Below are 14,776 nucleotides of genomic sequence, written 5' to 3' on the forward strand. Positions count from 1 at the left end.
ACATGTTGAAACTCACACGCTTCCAAGATGACGTATTCTCAGGTCTGCTGCCGTTGCCATTCTCTGCCTTATGTGATGGTGTTCTGTCTTACCAGAGGCTGTGGCCCTGAGAAAGATCACGTCTACCTGCAGCTGCACCACCTACCTCCAGAGCAGCTGGCCATGCCCTTGCCCGGCATTTCAGAGACAGCCATGATCTTCGCTGGTGTGGACGTCACGAAGGAGCCGATCCCTGTCCTCCCCACCGTGCATTATAACATGGACGGCATTCCCACCAGCTACGAGGGGCAGGTGATGGTGCTGGCTTCTCTCCCACAGCTGGAAAGAAGGCTGGGACAATGGGGCCCATCTCGCAGTTGTCTCTTTAGATCTTAGAGGAAGAGACAGATGTTTCCTTCCAGAAAGTACTGTATTGTTTGCTAAATTGCACTTGAAATTTCTATCACTGGAGGATGGAAGGAGGCTTAATAATTTATTCCTCCTTAGTAAACTGTCATAGATACATCATTTGCAGCTTTTCCCATTTTATAATTACTTTCCTATATGATCTTGTGTTATTTCTAATGAGCTTATACATCAAGGGATCTTTATAATTCCTATTTCTAATGATCTTGTACATCGAAGGATCTTTATAATTCATACCTGTGAGTGGTTTGCGGTTCACACAGAGCTTGTCAGTCACTTAGCCTCCTTGTTGGGCGAGGTGGGTGGAAGCTGTTACTTTCCCCGCATAGATGAAGAGGTGAACAGGGGGTAGAAGAGTCTGGAACATCAGTCTCCCCTGCTGATGTTCCTCCACCTGCCGTGCTCCTGGGTCTGAGCTGGAGCACAGGTGGTGAGGGCCTCGGGAACATGGGACACGGGGGACAGTCGCAGATGCTGACATTGGAGGCCCTCTGACCTGCTTGTAACAGCAGGTGCTCAGGGGCAGAGGGGAAACTGGGGTATACATTCGGAAGTTTCCTTCTGAAGAAGAGTAGCTATGGTCCTTACTTCCTTCTTAGATATGGTCTTTACTTCCCTCTCTTTGTTTCTTGGAGATGGAGACTCGCTCTGTCGCTTAGGCTGGAGTGCAATGGCGCGATCTCGGCTCACTGCAACCTCCGCCTCCCAGGTTCAAGCGATTCTTCTGCCTCAGCCTCCCGAGTAGCTGGGATTACAGGCACCTGCCATCATGCCTGGCTAATTTTTATATTTTTAGTTGAGACGGGGTTTCACCATGTTAGCCAGACAGGTCTCGAACCCCTGAACTCAGGTGATCCACCCGCCTCAGCCTCCCAAAGTGCTGGGATTACAAGCGTGAGCCACTGCATGCCCGACCTACTTCCCTCTCTTTCTCTGACCTGCAGCACAGACACCCTGTTGAGGGAGGTGGGCTTGTGGAGGAATGGGCATCTTGACATTTCACCTGAAATCTTCCTTTCCACAGGTCCTGAGGCACGGGAATGGCCAGGATCAGATTGTGCCCAGCCTGTACGCCTGTGGGGAGGCCGCCTGTGCCTCTGCACATGGTGTCAACCGCCTCGGGGCAAACTCGCTGTTGGACCTGGTTGTCTGGTCAGGCATGTGCCCTGAGCATCGCAGAGTCGTGCAGGCCTGGTAAGTGTTTTCTTCAGGACCCAGACTATTTGAGAAGGCGCAGGAGGTTAGTCTTTTTTCTTTTTTTTTGAGACAGGGTCAGCCCAGGCTGGAGTGCAGTGGCACAGTCATAGCAGCCTCAACCTCCCGAGCTCAAGCAGTCCTCAACACCTCAACCTTCAGAGTCCCAAGTAGCTGGGACTACAGATGTGCACCACCACACCTGGCTAATTTAAAAAAATTTTTTTTGGTAGAGACAGGGTCTCACAATATTGCCCAGGCTGGTCTTGAACTCCTAGACTCAAACAGTCTTCTGCCTCAGCTTTCCAAAGTATTGGGATTACAGGCATGAGCCACTGCACCCAGCCAGGTTACAAAGCCTTGATTTCTTACTGGAAATTTGCGTAGTGAGCATATAGAGGTAGTCTGGGTTTTTTCCCCTAGAAGTGATTAAACTGAGAAATCCAGAGATTATATGGTGGTAATGTTGAGACTAGATAGAGGCTGGTTGGGGATCTTAACAGTTAAGGTGACATTTTTGGGGTTACATTTTTTTTTTTTAAATTATTTTGCAGTCATTATTTTCTGTTTAGAAAAAGCACTATTAGGAAGCTGTTATTTTTAGGGGAAGTTCATTACGTATTACTTGCCTGATAAAAATCACTTATTTGCAATGAAATATTTAAAATAGTTGGCATGAATGAATATGTAACTTCTTGGTACTTAGAAAAATAATTTAGGCCATTCTAAAAGTACAACTAACCTCTATTAGAGGAGAAGGGCTGACTTAGAGTGAACAGGATTCCCACCCTCTACGGACAGATTCGATTTCACTTGCTGGTTTTCTTTTCAGGATAGCGTCAAATAATGTGCAGGAAAAGGAATACCGTGTGTGGGAGTGTGAGTCTTATGTGCACGAAGAACAGGACAGTTAGCATCGTTCCCACCTCCAGAGATCCTCACGGTGGTCATGCAGCCTCGTGTGCTCAGAACAGTGTGAGGTGGATGAGGCACTGGTGGATGTTTGCGTGGCAAGGATGGTGGGACCCCAGGCCCACGTTCTTCCCGTTAGCTTTCTCTGGTGTTAACTGTTTAGCATCATTTCTGCTGTTTTTATAGAACAGGCGCTTTTTGCTTTTTGTATGGACTCAAGTGAAATAAAAACTAGCACCGCCGTACCTTATAAACATGACCCTTTTCTATCTGTAGTTAGAAAGGTACAGGCAGTATTAAAAGGGTAGCTACTTCAGACACTGTGTCTCTGTGGATCTGACGACAGCTCAGGAGGCCAGCACATGCAGAGCCGGCGTCTCATCCCCAGCCGTTGCTGATCATCGGCGAAGGCGGAGTTCAGGTGCCTCGCTCCTGACGCCACAGGTTGTGCTTGTCTCACTCCATAGCCCTGCACTTTGTCGCAGTGAGGTCTGATACCACTTCTCTCAGAGCAGTGTAGAAATTTTGAGCTTCTCTTTCTTTGAAAATGCAGAAAAGAACATTTTGTGAGAATACCCTATACTTGACATCTGAGAAACCGCTCACACATGCAGCATCTCACGCAGAATGCTGTGGAGTCGGACTCAAAAGGCTGCACGCCTGTGGTCCTGTTGATAGGACATTCTGGACAAGGCACATCTAGGGAAGAAAAGGGATTGGTGGTTGCCAGAGGCTGTTTCCTGATTGTGCTGAGGCTTACAGACACAGCTCTGTGTGTGTCAAAGTTTGAAAAACCTACATTAAAAATGATGAGTTTATTTTACTGTATCTTTACGCTTTAATTTTTAAAAATGAAAAGGAAAGAAAAAATGCTTGTAGCATCCCTACTTCTCCCCCAACCCCCGACCCCCCCAAAAATATATATATGTGTATTTTTAGACATAGTCTCCCTCTGTCACCCAGGCTTGAGTGCAGTGGTACGATCAGGTGCACGCCACCACATCTGGCTAATTTTTAAAAATGTATTCTAGGGACAGGGTCTCCCTGTGTTGCCCAGGGTGGTCTTGAACTCCTGACCTCAAGTGATCCTCCTGTCTCAGCCTCCCAAAGTGGTTACATGCATCTATCCATGTGTTAAAATCGGTAGAACTGAGGCCGGGTGCAGTGGCTCACACCTATAATCCCACCACTTTGGGAGGCCAAGGCAGGCCGATTGCTTGAGCTCAGGAGTTCGAGACCAGCTTGGGCAAGGTGGTGAAACCCCGTCTCTACCAGAAATACAAAAATTAGCTGGGCATGGTGGCTCACACTTGGGTAGTCCCAGCTACTTGGGAGGCTGAGGTGGGAGGATTGTTGGAGCCTAGAAGGCGGAGGTTGCTGTGAGCCGAGATCACACCACTGCACTCCAGCCTGGGCAACAGAGGGAGGAGACACTGTCTCAAAAAAAAAAAAGAAAAAAGAAACTGTAGAACTGTCCACCGAAAGAAAAAAGTCAATTTTAATGGATGATCAATTTTTAAAGCGTTATAAACAAAAGGAAAAGAGACACCAGCAAGCCTAGAAGCATTTGAGCAGACCGTCAAGAGACCCACAGCCTGGTCCCGAGGAGAGGCGGTAGGCGGGACAGGGCCTGTTTGACTCCTGCATTTCATACCTCCTATCTCCTGCATGTGTTACCTATTGAAGAAAAAATACATATAATTTTATAAAAAAAAAAAACCTTTAAAACTTTTTTCAAGACATCTTGGAAACACAAGAGTTGCAAATCTTGGCCGTGCGCAGCAGCTCACACATGTGATCCCAGCACTTTGGGAGGCTGAGGCAGGTGGCTCACCTGAGGTCAGGAGTTCGAGACCAGCCTGGCCAACATGGTGAAACCCCATCTCTACTGAAAATACAAAAATTAGCCAGGTATGGTTGCAAACTCCTGTAGTCCCATCTACTCCAGAGTCTGAGGCAGGAGGATTGCTTGAACCAGGAGGTGGAGGTTGCAGTGAGCCGAGATGGTGCCACTGCACTCCAGCCTGGGCTACAGAGCAAAATTCCATCTCAAAAAAAAAAAAAAAAAATTGCAAATCTTGAAGTATAGGTGAGAGCACACAACAGTCCAAATCAGCAGGTGACTTGCAAGCACACAGCAGCCACCTTCCTCCCCCTAATGTGAAGGACAGTGGGGCGGCCGGCCCCTTGGGACCACCATCTGGAAGGTGTCATTTTTTCCCGTTAGTGGAGTGACATTTATATACACTTAATGTATATAAATCTGTATACATTTAATTTTTTTTTTTTGTAAGACAGGGTCTCGCTCTGTTGCCCAGGCTGGAGTGCAGTGGCGCGATCTCGGCTCACTGCAACCTCCACCTTTCGGGTTAAAGCAGTTCTCATGCCAGATAATTTTTGTGTTTTTAGTAGAAATGAGGTTTTGCCACGTTGGCCAGGCTGCTCTTGAACTCCTGACCTCAAGTGCTTCACCTACCTCAGCCTCCTAAAGTGCTGGGATTACAGGCGTGAGCCACTGCACCTGGCCTACATTTTAATTTTTTAATTTTAGAGATGATTTCTAGTTTATTCACTCTAAGATCACTTAATGGATATCTACTGTGTGCCAACAGTTTTGCCTTTTATGTCTGTTCTTTAAAATTGGCCCCAACTCAACAGATGGCCTCAGATGTAGGGTGGGTTGGCAGTGTGTTAGCTCAGGAGACTTACACCGTTTCCAGGCTCCTTGAGCGGCTATGCTACATTTTTGTGTGTAGTACTAAATCCATTTGTTTTTTTAAAACGGTTTTCAAAAGTTAAATTCTAGCTCTTTTTGTTGTTGTTTTAGGAGATAAAGTCCCTCCAATTAAACCAAATGCTGGGGAAGAATCTGTCACGAATCTTGACAAATTGAGATTTGCTGATGGAAGAAGCATAAGAACATCGGAACTGCGACTCAGCATGCAGAAGGTAAGAGCCTGGACTCGCTCTGGAGTGAGCAGGCTGGCTGCATACCTGGCCCTGCACTGGTTTTGTTTTTTTAAAAACAGATCTAGGGGGATGCAGGTGCAGCTTTGTGTGGATGTACTGGGAGGTGGTGGAGTCTGGGCTTTTCATGTACCTGTCACCCAAGTCGTGTGTGTTGTACTCAGCAGGTAATTGCTCATCCCCACCCCTCCCGCTTTTTGGAGCCCACAGTCTGTTAGTCCACTCCGTGTGTCCATGTGTACTCACCGTTCAGCTCCCACTTCCAAGGGAGAATGTGTGACACTTGACCTTCTGACTCACTTAGGATAGTGACCTCCCATTCCATCCGTCTGGCTGCAGAAGACATGATTGCATTCTTTTTTTATGGCCAAGTAGTATTTCATGGTATATATGTACCACATTTTCTTTATCCGGTCGTCCGTTGATGGGCACTTAGGTTGATTCCATGACTTTGCTATTGTGACTAGTGCTGCAATAAACATACGAGGCTGCACCAGTATGTGGAGGTAAACAGCAGTAGGACATACTCCTCACTGTATCAAGAATATGAAAGAGACCAGAAGTGCACTTCTTCTCCACATAGAAGGTCAGCAGGCCAGGGCAGAATTAGTGACTGCTTAGCATCCAGGACAGCCTTCTGTGGTTCACTCGTGTGTGCTTGGGCATGACCTCCGTGCCCTGACCGTCGCTGGCTGTCATGGATGAGTCACAGTGTGGAGGAGAGGGAGCCGCAGGACTGCCGGAGAAGCTCCGTCCCCAGCAGGGCAGCTTTCTCTTAGAGGTTTCCTGGAGTTCAACACAACACTGGTGCTTACATCTCAGGCCCAGATATTGATCATGTCATCATGCCTGGCTTCCAGCAGCTCGGAAACGTCTTTAAGCTAGACCTGTTGCTGCCCCTAAATATACTCAGCAGAGAGGGAGAGTGGGCGGCAGGTGGACAGTGATCTGTGCGGCCTGTGCTGCTGGGAGTCGGTCCAGTAGGACCGTCTGTGATGATGGAAATGTTGAGTGTTTGCCGTCCAGTATGGCAGCCATTAGCCATGGGGCCGTGGAGAACCTGATATATAGTCAGTCTAAGAAACTCAATTCCTCTAATAACAAGGATTCTTGTCCATGAATGAGATCTCTTGTCTGCTATTTGCAAGAATTTCTGCGTATTTTCTAGAAAGAAGTCCACTGCTTTAGTCCTATTCTGAAAGGCATTTGGTGTTAGACACAAGAGAACAGGTTCCCTGCTGACAATTTTCAGAGGCCCGTGCCCTTCGGTCTTCAGGTGAGGCTGGGCTTGAGGGAGGTTTTGTGGAACGGTGAGAAGAACAGCGTGACTAAGGCACAGAAGGCTGAGTGATGCCCTGCAGTGCTTTTGTAGGGTTGGAGGCCAGCTGGGAAAGAAGGAACCCTTGCGTTAGAGAATGGGAACATGCCTTAGGATATAGAAATGGCAAATCTGAGATAGTTTGAAGTGAGAATACTAGAAGTGTTCCCACCAAACAAGGTGTGTCTTGGTGCCTGCTGTATCCCAGGCTCCGTGAGGTGCCGGAGTCAGCACTGAACAAACAGAGCTTCCTATGCTTGCGGAAATGCATTTCGTTGGGGGAAGGGATTTTTCTGCTGACTCTGGCTATTAATAGTAACAATCAAAAAAAGAAATGAGGTAAATTGATAGAAACAGGCCCCCAAATGTGGCCATAAACTGGCCCCAAAACTGGCCATAAACAAAATCTCTGCAGCATGTGACGTGCTCGTGATGGCCAGGACGACCACGCAGGAAGGTTATGGGTTTACCGTAATGAGGGCAAGGAACACCTGGCCCACCCAGAGTGGAAAACCTCTTAAGACCTTCTTAAACCACAAACAATAGCATGAGCGCTCTGTGCCTTAAGGACATGCTCCTGCTGCAGATAACTAGCCAGACCCATCCCTTTATTTCCTGTAAGGAATACTTTCAGTAAGTCTTATCACTGGCTTGCTGTCAATAAATACGTGGGTAAATCTCTGTTTGAGGCTTTTGGCTCTGAAGGCTGTGAGACCCCTGATTTCCCACTCCACACTCTATATTTCTGTGTGTGTGTCTTTACTTCCTCTAGTGCCACTGGGTTAGGGTTTCCATGACCCAGCTGGTCTTGGCAGTAAATATTGAAAAGGAATAGATACAGTTGCCATTATTTACAGATATAATTTCCAAAAAATTTCCAGAGAATAAACGGAAAAACTAACAGAAACAAAACAAGAATGTAGTAAGGTATGTGTATAAGAGATTTGTATGTAAAAATCAGTAGCTTTGCAATGTGCCAGCAGTAATCTGCTCAGACATCAGTAAATATCTCATTCGCATTTCAAACAAAAAATTTAAAATGCCTTGAAATAATGTAACCAGAAATACGAAAAGATGATATGAAAACGTCGCTGCTAAAGGACATGAAAGAATGTAATACTAGATTCTGAGATGCAATTTTTTTCATTTGTTCTTCCTGAAAAACCATTAGGTTGATGTGCATTACAGTGTTACGATTATGTATGAGTCTAAGGAAAATCAGATGAAATGTCCAAATTGAACCACGAAGGTGCATTGGTAGAGGAAGAGACAATTAGGGTCAGTGGAGCAAAGCACAGTTAGAGGGAGAAGCAAGGAGGAGGAGGGATCACGGAGGTGGTGCCTGTGTGTCCCACAGGAAGCAAAAGCTGATGCCCAGTTCCCAGCATACCTAAGTAAACTTCAGGTCCACTCCTAGCACGTTTCTCGTGATAGTAAAACTATGAAGGAACTCAGTGTACAAGGAGCTTCTACAAAATAGGCAGAAGACAGTAGCCAGATGGGCCAAGGGCCCCAGCCACCCACGCCCCTCCCTCTCCTTGAAGACCTTCGGTTCCAACCCCACCATCAGCAGGGCTCTGCTCAGTTCCTCCTTGTGTGTATCACCACAGGGCTGCTGGCTCGTGTCACGTTCACCACCAGACCCCACATCAGGAGTCCCGCCAGGGGTGTGGGGAGGCAGTGCTGCCTGGTTGGCCGTGGAGCCGTATGGAACGTGGTGCCTCACAGGCAGTCTGCTTGGCGTCCTGGACCCTGGCTGTATCCCGCTGGAAAGGATGTGTGTGGGTCTAAGATATGTATATAATAGAAACATTTATTCAGAAGCTTTAGTCAAGACTTCATTTTTAAGTTCAGAGTAATAAACTCATAGTCTAAATTTCCTAATTTTTCTGTTTAATTTACATAAATAAAATGAAATGCAAAACAACAGGTCTAAAAGTTAAGCAGTTCTTGGTATGGCTGCTTCTATGAATTAAAAGTTTACAAATAATATTTTGTGCCACAGTCAACGCAAAATCATGCTGCCGTGTTCCGTGTGGGAAGCTTGTTGCAAGAAGGTTGTGGGAAAATCAGCAAGCTCTATGGAGACCTGAAGCATCTGAAGACGTTTGACCGGGGTGAGCAGACAGTGGGCTCTGTGCACACTGTTGGGCCCTGCCTTCTGCAGGGTGGGCTGGTGTCTGTCCCGTCAGTGCTGACTTAGTTCCATGCTTGCTGTCTGGATGGGTGCTGGCCCCCAGCTGTAAAGCCACAACCAGTGACTCCATGGACTAGCAGGCCCAGGCTGACAGCTCGGAGGGCCCGTGTGACTGGGTCCCACCTGCCCCTGATGGAACTTTTTGTGTCCCCAGGAATGGTCTGGAACACGGACCTGGTGGAGACCCTGGAGCTGCAGAACCTGATGCTATGTGCGCTGCAGACCGTCAATGGAGCAGAGGCGGGGAAGGAGTCACGGGGCGCGCACGCCGGGGAAGACTACAAGGTGCGCCTTCTCGCCACGCCCACCTGCACCTGCCTTTTCCTCCCGCCTGGTGGGACTCAGCCCCACCCCTGCATTTTCTCTGCATTTTATGTCGTTTCCCCAAAAGTATATCCAAAAAATGCCTTTTTCCCTCTGGTAACTTTGATCCCTGGGTTCTCGCCATTTTCTGGATCACTGTGACCTGTTCCTTGCTTTGGGTCGGCATCCACTGATGCCAGCAGTGGCATCTCCAAGCCAATGTGCTTTGCTGTTAGAAGGCCAAGGTTAGAAGTGCAGCCAGCGTGGCATGACCAGGAAATAAATGCCAGTTTATTAAATAACGAGTAAGCCACCGTTTCAAGCCTGCCCTATGGAGGAAATGCCAGTTTATTAAATAACGAGTAAGCCACCGTTTCAAGCCTGCCCTGTGGAGGAAATGCCAGTTTATTAAATAACGAGTAAGCCACCGTTTCAAGCCTGCCCTGTGGAGGAAATGCCAGTTTATTAAATAACGAGTAAGCCACCGTTTCAAGCCTGCCCTGTGGAGGAAATGCCAGTTTATTAAATAACAAGTAAGTCACCGTTTCAGACCTGCCTTGTGGAGGAAATGCCAGTTTACTAAATAACGAGTAAGCCACTGTTTCCAACCTGTCCTGTGGTTTGGAAAAGGTATTATAGAGCCTGTCCTGTGGTTTGATTACGGAGACTGCCCTGTGGTCACTTGTTCTTCAGATGAACTGATTTTTGTGCAGAGCACACGTGTTGGATTCTGCCTGGTAAGAGTTTTTCACATATGATAGCAAAAAACGACGGAAAGGGAAGCTTGGGGTGCAAATGCAAGTTCAGGATAAACCACATCGGCAAAAGGACAAAGGCTCCACAAGGCAGGCGCACAGGCTGGTTCAGGGCCATGTGTGGGCGGCTGGTGGCAGCCTTTCCAGTCAGCTGAACACAGTGAATGGGAAAATCATTTTTATTCACCATGAAATTTTACTGATTTACCCTCCACTAGAATATGCTGATGGCTGTGATCACTGCTCAGAATTTGCTCGTCTCCTCATACATATTAAGAGTCTTTCCTGCAAAGTATATGAATCCGTGTTTGCCAGAATACAGAATAATAATAAATTTATTATTTTTAATTTTTTGAGATGGAGTCTCATTGTCCCCCAGGCTGGAGTGCAGCGGCGCGATCTCAGCTCACTGCAACCTCTGCCTCCCAGGTTCAAGTGATTCTCCTGCCTCAGCCTCCCAAGCAGCTGGGGTTACAGGCGCATGCCACCGTGCCCGGCTAATTTTGTATTTTCAGTAAAGACGGGGTTTCACCATGTTGGCCAGGCTAGTCTCGAACTCCCGACCTCAAGTGAACCACCCACCTTGGCCTTCCAAAGTGCTAGGATTACAGGCATGAGCCACTGTGCCTGGCCAGGAGCATAAATTTAGTTGGTGACAACGAGTTTTAATTAGAATAGAAGCCAGGTGCAGTGGCTCCCACCTGTAATCCCAGCATTTGGGAGGCTGAGGCAGGCAGATCACTTGAGCCCCGGAGTTCTAGACCAGCCTGGGCAACATGGCGAAACCTGTCTCTACAAAAATTAAAAAATTAGCCAGGCGTGGTGGTACACACCTGAGGTACCAGCTGCTCAGGAGGCTGAGGCAGGATGATTGATTGAGCCCGGGAAGTCAAGGCTCTGGCGAGCTGTGATCACACCATTGCGCTCCAGCCCAGGTGACATAGCGAGACCCTGTCTCAAAAGAGAAAAAAAGTGTTTTTAATAAAAACAGGCTGAAAGAAAAGATGGAGGTAGTCTCCCAGCGCTTGGAGCAAAAAGACAAAGTATTTGATAAACTCTTAGGTACATAAAGGATGTCTAAGGGAACATGCGGACATGGATTACTCTGGACTCACTGCTGGCTGCACATCGCTGGCCAGCCATGTGGCCTCTGTGGGTTCTGAACGTGTTGATGGTGCCAACCTCCTGGGCTGAAGTGGAAATGGAATGGGTTCTAGGGCATCTGTCTCTTAGATCATTTTAATGTTTGCTGTGTTTTTTCTGTATTGCTCTGTTAGAGTAATGAGAAATGTGATGGTGTTTCTGGCCTCAGGTGCAGATTGATGAGTATGATCACTCCAAGCCCATCCAGGGGCAACAGAAGAAGCCCTTTGAGGTGCACTGGAGGAAGCACACCCTGTCCTATGTGGACGTCGGCACTGGGAAGGTCAGTGTGGAGCTCGTTCTCACCACAGCCCAGCACCCACACGGCCCCGCCCAGGTCTGCGGGCTGGCCTTGCTGATGGTGAACGCGGAGGAGCAGGCCAGATTTAAATCAACTCCCGACAGATTTGAGGCACCGCTGAAAAAGGCACTCTGACAGCAGTCGGGCTTCGGGCTGGAAACAGAATCCAGTGCCTGCAGGTGGTTCAGAGGAGCCTTAAGGAAGGGTTGCTCTGTGGTGTGGGCCAGATGGAAGTCACTGGGCAGGAGCAAGTGTCCAAGGCCTGGTGGCAGGGGAGGAGATGATGATTGTGGACCTAGCGAGAAAGTCAGCATCTGTGTGGTGGGGACAGAGCCACTACCAGAAACCAGTCCCGAGCCAAGGGAGCCCAGAAGAGACCCCTCCCCTCTCTTCCCATGGGCTGGGCCAACTGGAAGCATCTGCAGGGGAGCAGAGGGGATGTGGTGCAGCCCTTAGCATCCCCTGGGCACTGAGCAAGCAGAGAAGGGCAGAAATGGAGGCAGGGTTGGGGTAAGCAGCGTCCTGGGAACAGCCAGCCGAGGGTGTGGTAGGGGGGTTGCAGCTTGTTCCACACAAGCACAGCGTCTTGGGAACAGCCAGCCGAGGGTGTGGTAGGGGGTTGCAGCTTGTTCCACACAAGCACAGTTCACCTGTGTGGCATTTCCACTGGGCATTGAGATTCAGAAATCATGAAGATAGAAAGCTTTTACCCTTAAGCTTTTCATAACTTGTAAGGGAGAGTCGTATAATCACTTAGCTGTGTCTGTGGAAGTTACCTTTGGACTCTCACTATCATCTAGTGTGTCTGTGATTCAGGCAGTGGGTCATTTTCAGAATTTATCATGAAGGCCATTTCCTGATAGTATAGAGAGGTCACACTTCACTCGCTTAGCACAAGTCTATTTTTAATGTTTCCGGGTTCAGGTTTTTTGTTTTGTTTTTGTTGTTCTGAGATAGAGTCTCATCTCTTTTGCCCAGGCTGAAATGTGGTGGCTCGATCTCATCTCACTGCAGCCTCAACCTCCCCTCGGCTCAGGTGATCCTCCCACCTCAGCCTCCCGGGCACATGCCACCATGCCTGGCTAATTTTTGTATGTTTTGTAGAGACGGGGTTTTGCCACGTTGCCCAGGCTAGTCTTGAGCTCCTGAGCTCAAGTGATCCACCTGTCTTGGCCTCCCCAACAGGCATGAACCAACACGCCCAGCCAGTTTCAGTGATTTTTGAAGAAATACATACTCATTTTAGAAAGTACAAAGAGATTGAAATAAGAGCTCACTAACCAGAGATGACCCATTATGGTTTAAATTTCTTTGTATATGTGCCTACCTTTTCCTGTGTGTGCATATTTAATACACGGCTTGAGTATTCCTTCTCTGAAATCCTTGGGACCAGAAGTGTTTTGGATTTCAGGCTTGTTCAGACTTTGGAATATTTGCATTACACTTACTGTCTGAGCATCCTTAATCGGAAGATCTGACTCCATAGCACATTTCTTTTGAATGTCATGCTGGTGCTCAGAAAGTTTCAGATTTGGGAGAATTTCAGATGTTTGGATTAGGGATGTTCTACCTATATAAATATTTACTTTGAAGTAGAAAAACTGGAAGTAGATAGTTTAAACATGAAGTGTCTTGGTATAGACAAGGGTTCTCCCACTTTTCATGATGGGAGCATTTTTGTAAAGCAAAGCACTGAGAATCTGGTACAGTGTCATTTTCGTTGCTCTGTTCCACTCTACCGATCTGCCGTCATTTACAGTCCCCTGTTGCGCATGTAGATCATTTTTGAATTTGTTATTGGAAAATACTGCAGCAAATACCTTAAAGTTCACATGCCGTAAATCTACTTTTATAGTTAAAATTTTTCAAAAGGAACACAAGAGATGGCTTTTTGTACATTTTTGTGCTTAACTTACCACTGACTTCTTTTCAAGGTCACTGTGGAATATAGACCCATAATTGACAAAACTTTGAACGAGGCTGACTGTGCCACTGTCCCCCCAGCCATTCACTCCTACTGATGAGACAAGATGTGGTGATGACAGAATCAGCTTTTGTAATTATGTATAATAGCTCATGCATGTGTCAATGTCATAACTGTCTTTATACGCTTCTGCACTCTGGGGAAGAAGGAGTACATTGAAGGGGGATTGGCACCCAGTGGCCGGGGAGCGTGGCACTTACCTTTGTCCCTTGCTTCATTCTTGTGACAAGATAAAACTGGGCACAGCTGTTAAATAAAATATAAATGAACAAACTTTCTTTTATTTCCAAATCCATTTAAAATATTTTCCTGTTATGACTTGTCATATTTGTTGACCTAAAAATCAAATGTAATTATCTTTGTATTCTGTTACATCAAAATCCAGATATTTTGTTGCAGTTTCTTTTTTTTTTTTTTTTTTTTGAGACAGGGTTGGTGCAGTCTCAGCTCACTGCAGCCTCAAACTCCTGGGCAGCTCAGGTGATCTTCCCGACTCAGCCTTCTAAGTAGCTGGGGCTACAGGTGTGCACCACCACGCCCAGCTCATTTATTTTGTAATTGTAGGGACAGGGTCTCACTTTGTTGCCTAGGCTGGTCTCAAACTGCTGGGCTTAAGTGATCGTTCCTCCTTGGCCTCCCGAAGTGCTGGAATTATAGGTGTGAACCACCATGTCTGGCCTTGTAGTTTATTTCTAAGTTCAAATTAATGTTGGTGCTTTTCCTCCTTTTTTCTTAGCAGATGGTTTGCTAGGTGAGTGTGTCCTCGATTCTTTAAATCAGGGGTCCCCAATCCCCAGGCCACAGATTGTTCCAGTCCATGGCCTGTTAGGAACCAGGCCACACAGTAGGAGGTGAGCAGCCAGCCAGTGAGCATTACTGTGTGAGCTCCGCCCCCTGCCAGAGCATTACTGTGTGAGCTCCACCCCCTGCCAGAGCATTACTGTGTGAGCTCCGCCCCCTGCCAGAGCATTACTGTGTGAGCTCCGCCCCCTGTCAGAGCATTACTGTGTGAGCTCCGCCCCCTGCCAGAGATTACTGTGTGAGCTCCGCCCCCTGGCAGAGCATTACTGTGTGAGCTCCGCCCCCTGGCAGAGCATTACTGTGTGAGCTCCGCCCCCTGCCAGAGATTACTGTGTGAGCTCCGCCCCCTGTCAGAGCATTACTGTGTGAGCTCCGCCCCCTGCCAGAGTATTACTGTGTGAGCTCTGCCCCGTCAGAGCATTGCTGTGTGAGCTCCGCCCCCTGCCAGAGTATTACTGTGTGAGCTCCACCCCCTGTCAGCATTACTGTGTGAGCT

The 14,776-nt window shown here is 47.6% G+C and overlaps 1 pseudogene across 1 annotated transcript in view, besides 3 other annotated features; it reads left to right on the forward strand.

The window, feature by feature from the left end:
• Window positions 1-14,776, forward strand: part of SDHAP2 (SDHA pseudogene 2) — a 30,833-nt pseudogene that overhangs the window by 14,350 nt on the left and 1,707 nt on the right. Inside the window, exons 9-14 of the transcript NR_003265.3 lie at window positions 96-291; window positions 1,430-1,599; window positions 5,339-5,460; window positions 8,802-8,913; window positions 9,148-9,278; window positions 11,364-11,477. The product of NR_003265.3 is annotated as an SDHA pseudogene 2 (transcript). The remainder of the gene's footprint in view (window positions 1-95; window positions 292-1,429; window positions 1,600-5,338; window positions 5,461-8,801; window positions 8,914-9,147; window positions 9,279-11,363; window positions 11,478-14,776) is intronic.
• Window positions 9,170-9,669: an enhancer, noted in NCBI's record as "H3K4me1 hESC enhancer chr3:195408429-195408928 (GRCh37/hg19 assembly coordinates)". NCBI's record gives its function as "activates a minimal SCP1, AML or CMV promoter by ChIP-STARR-seq in primed H9 embryonic stem cells {active_cell/tissue: H9 hESC(primed)}" and the evidence as "EXISTENCE:reporter gene assay evidence [ECO:0000049][PMID:30033119]".
• Window positions 10,992-11,713: an enhancer, noted in NCBI's record as "H3K27ac-H3K4me1 hESC enhancer chr3:195410251-195410972 (GRCh37/hg19 assembly coordinates)". NCBI's record gives its function as "activates a minimal SCP1, AML or CMV promoter by ChIP-STARR-seq in naive H9 embryonic stem cells {active_cell/tissue: H9 hESC(naive)}" and the evidence as "EXISTENCE:reporter gene assay evidence [ECO:0000049][PMID:30033119]".
• Window positions 11,714-12,433: an enhancer, noted in NCBI's record as "H3K27ac-H3K4me1 hESC enhancer chr3:195410973-195411692 (GRCh37/hg19 assembly coordinates)". NCBI's record gives its function as "activates a minimal SCP1, AML or CMV promoter by ChIP-STARR-seq in naive H9 embryonic stem cells {active_cell/tissue: H9 hESC(naive)}" and the evidence as "EXISTENCE:reporter gene assay evidence [ECO:0000049][PMID:30033119]".

The sequence above is a fragment of the Homo sapiens genome, chromosome 3, assembly GCF_000001405.40.
Source record: "Homo sapiens chromosome 3, GRCh38.p14 Primary Assembly".
NCBI classification, from domain to species: domain Eukaryota; kingdom Metazoa; phylum Chordata; class Mammalia; order Primates; family Hominidae; genus Homo; species Homo sapiens.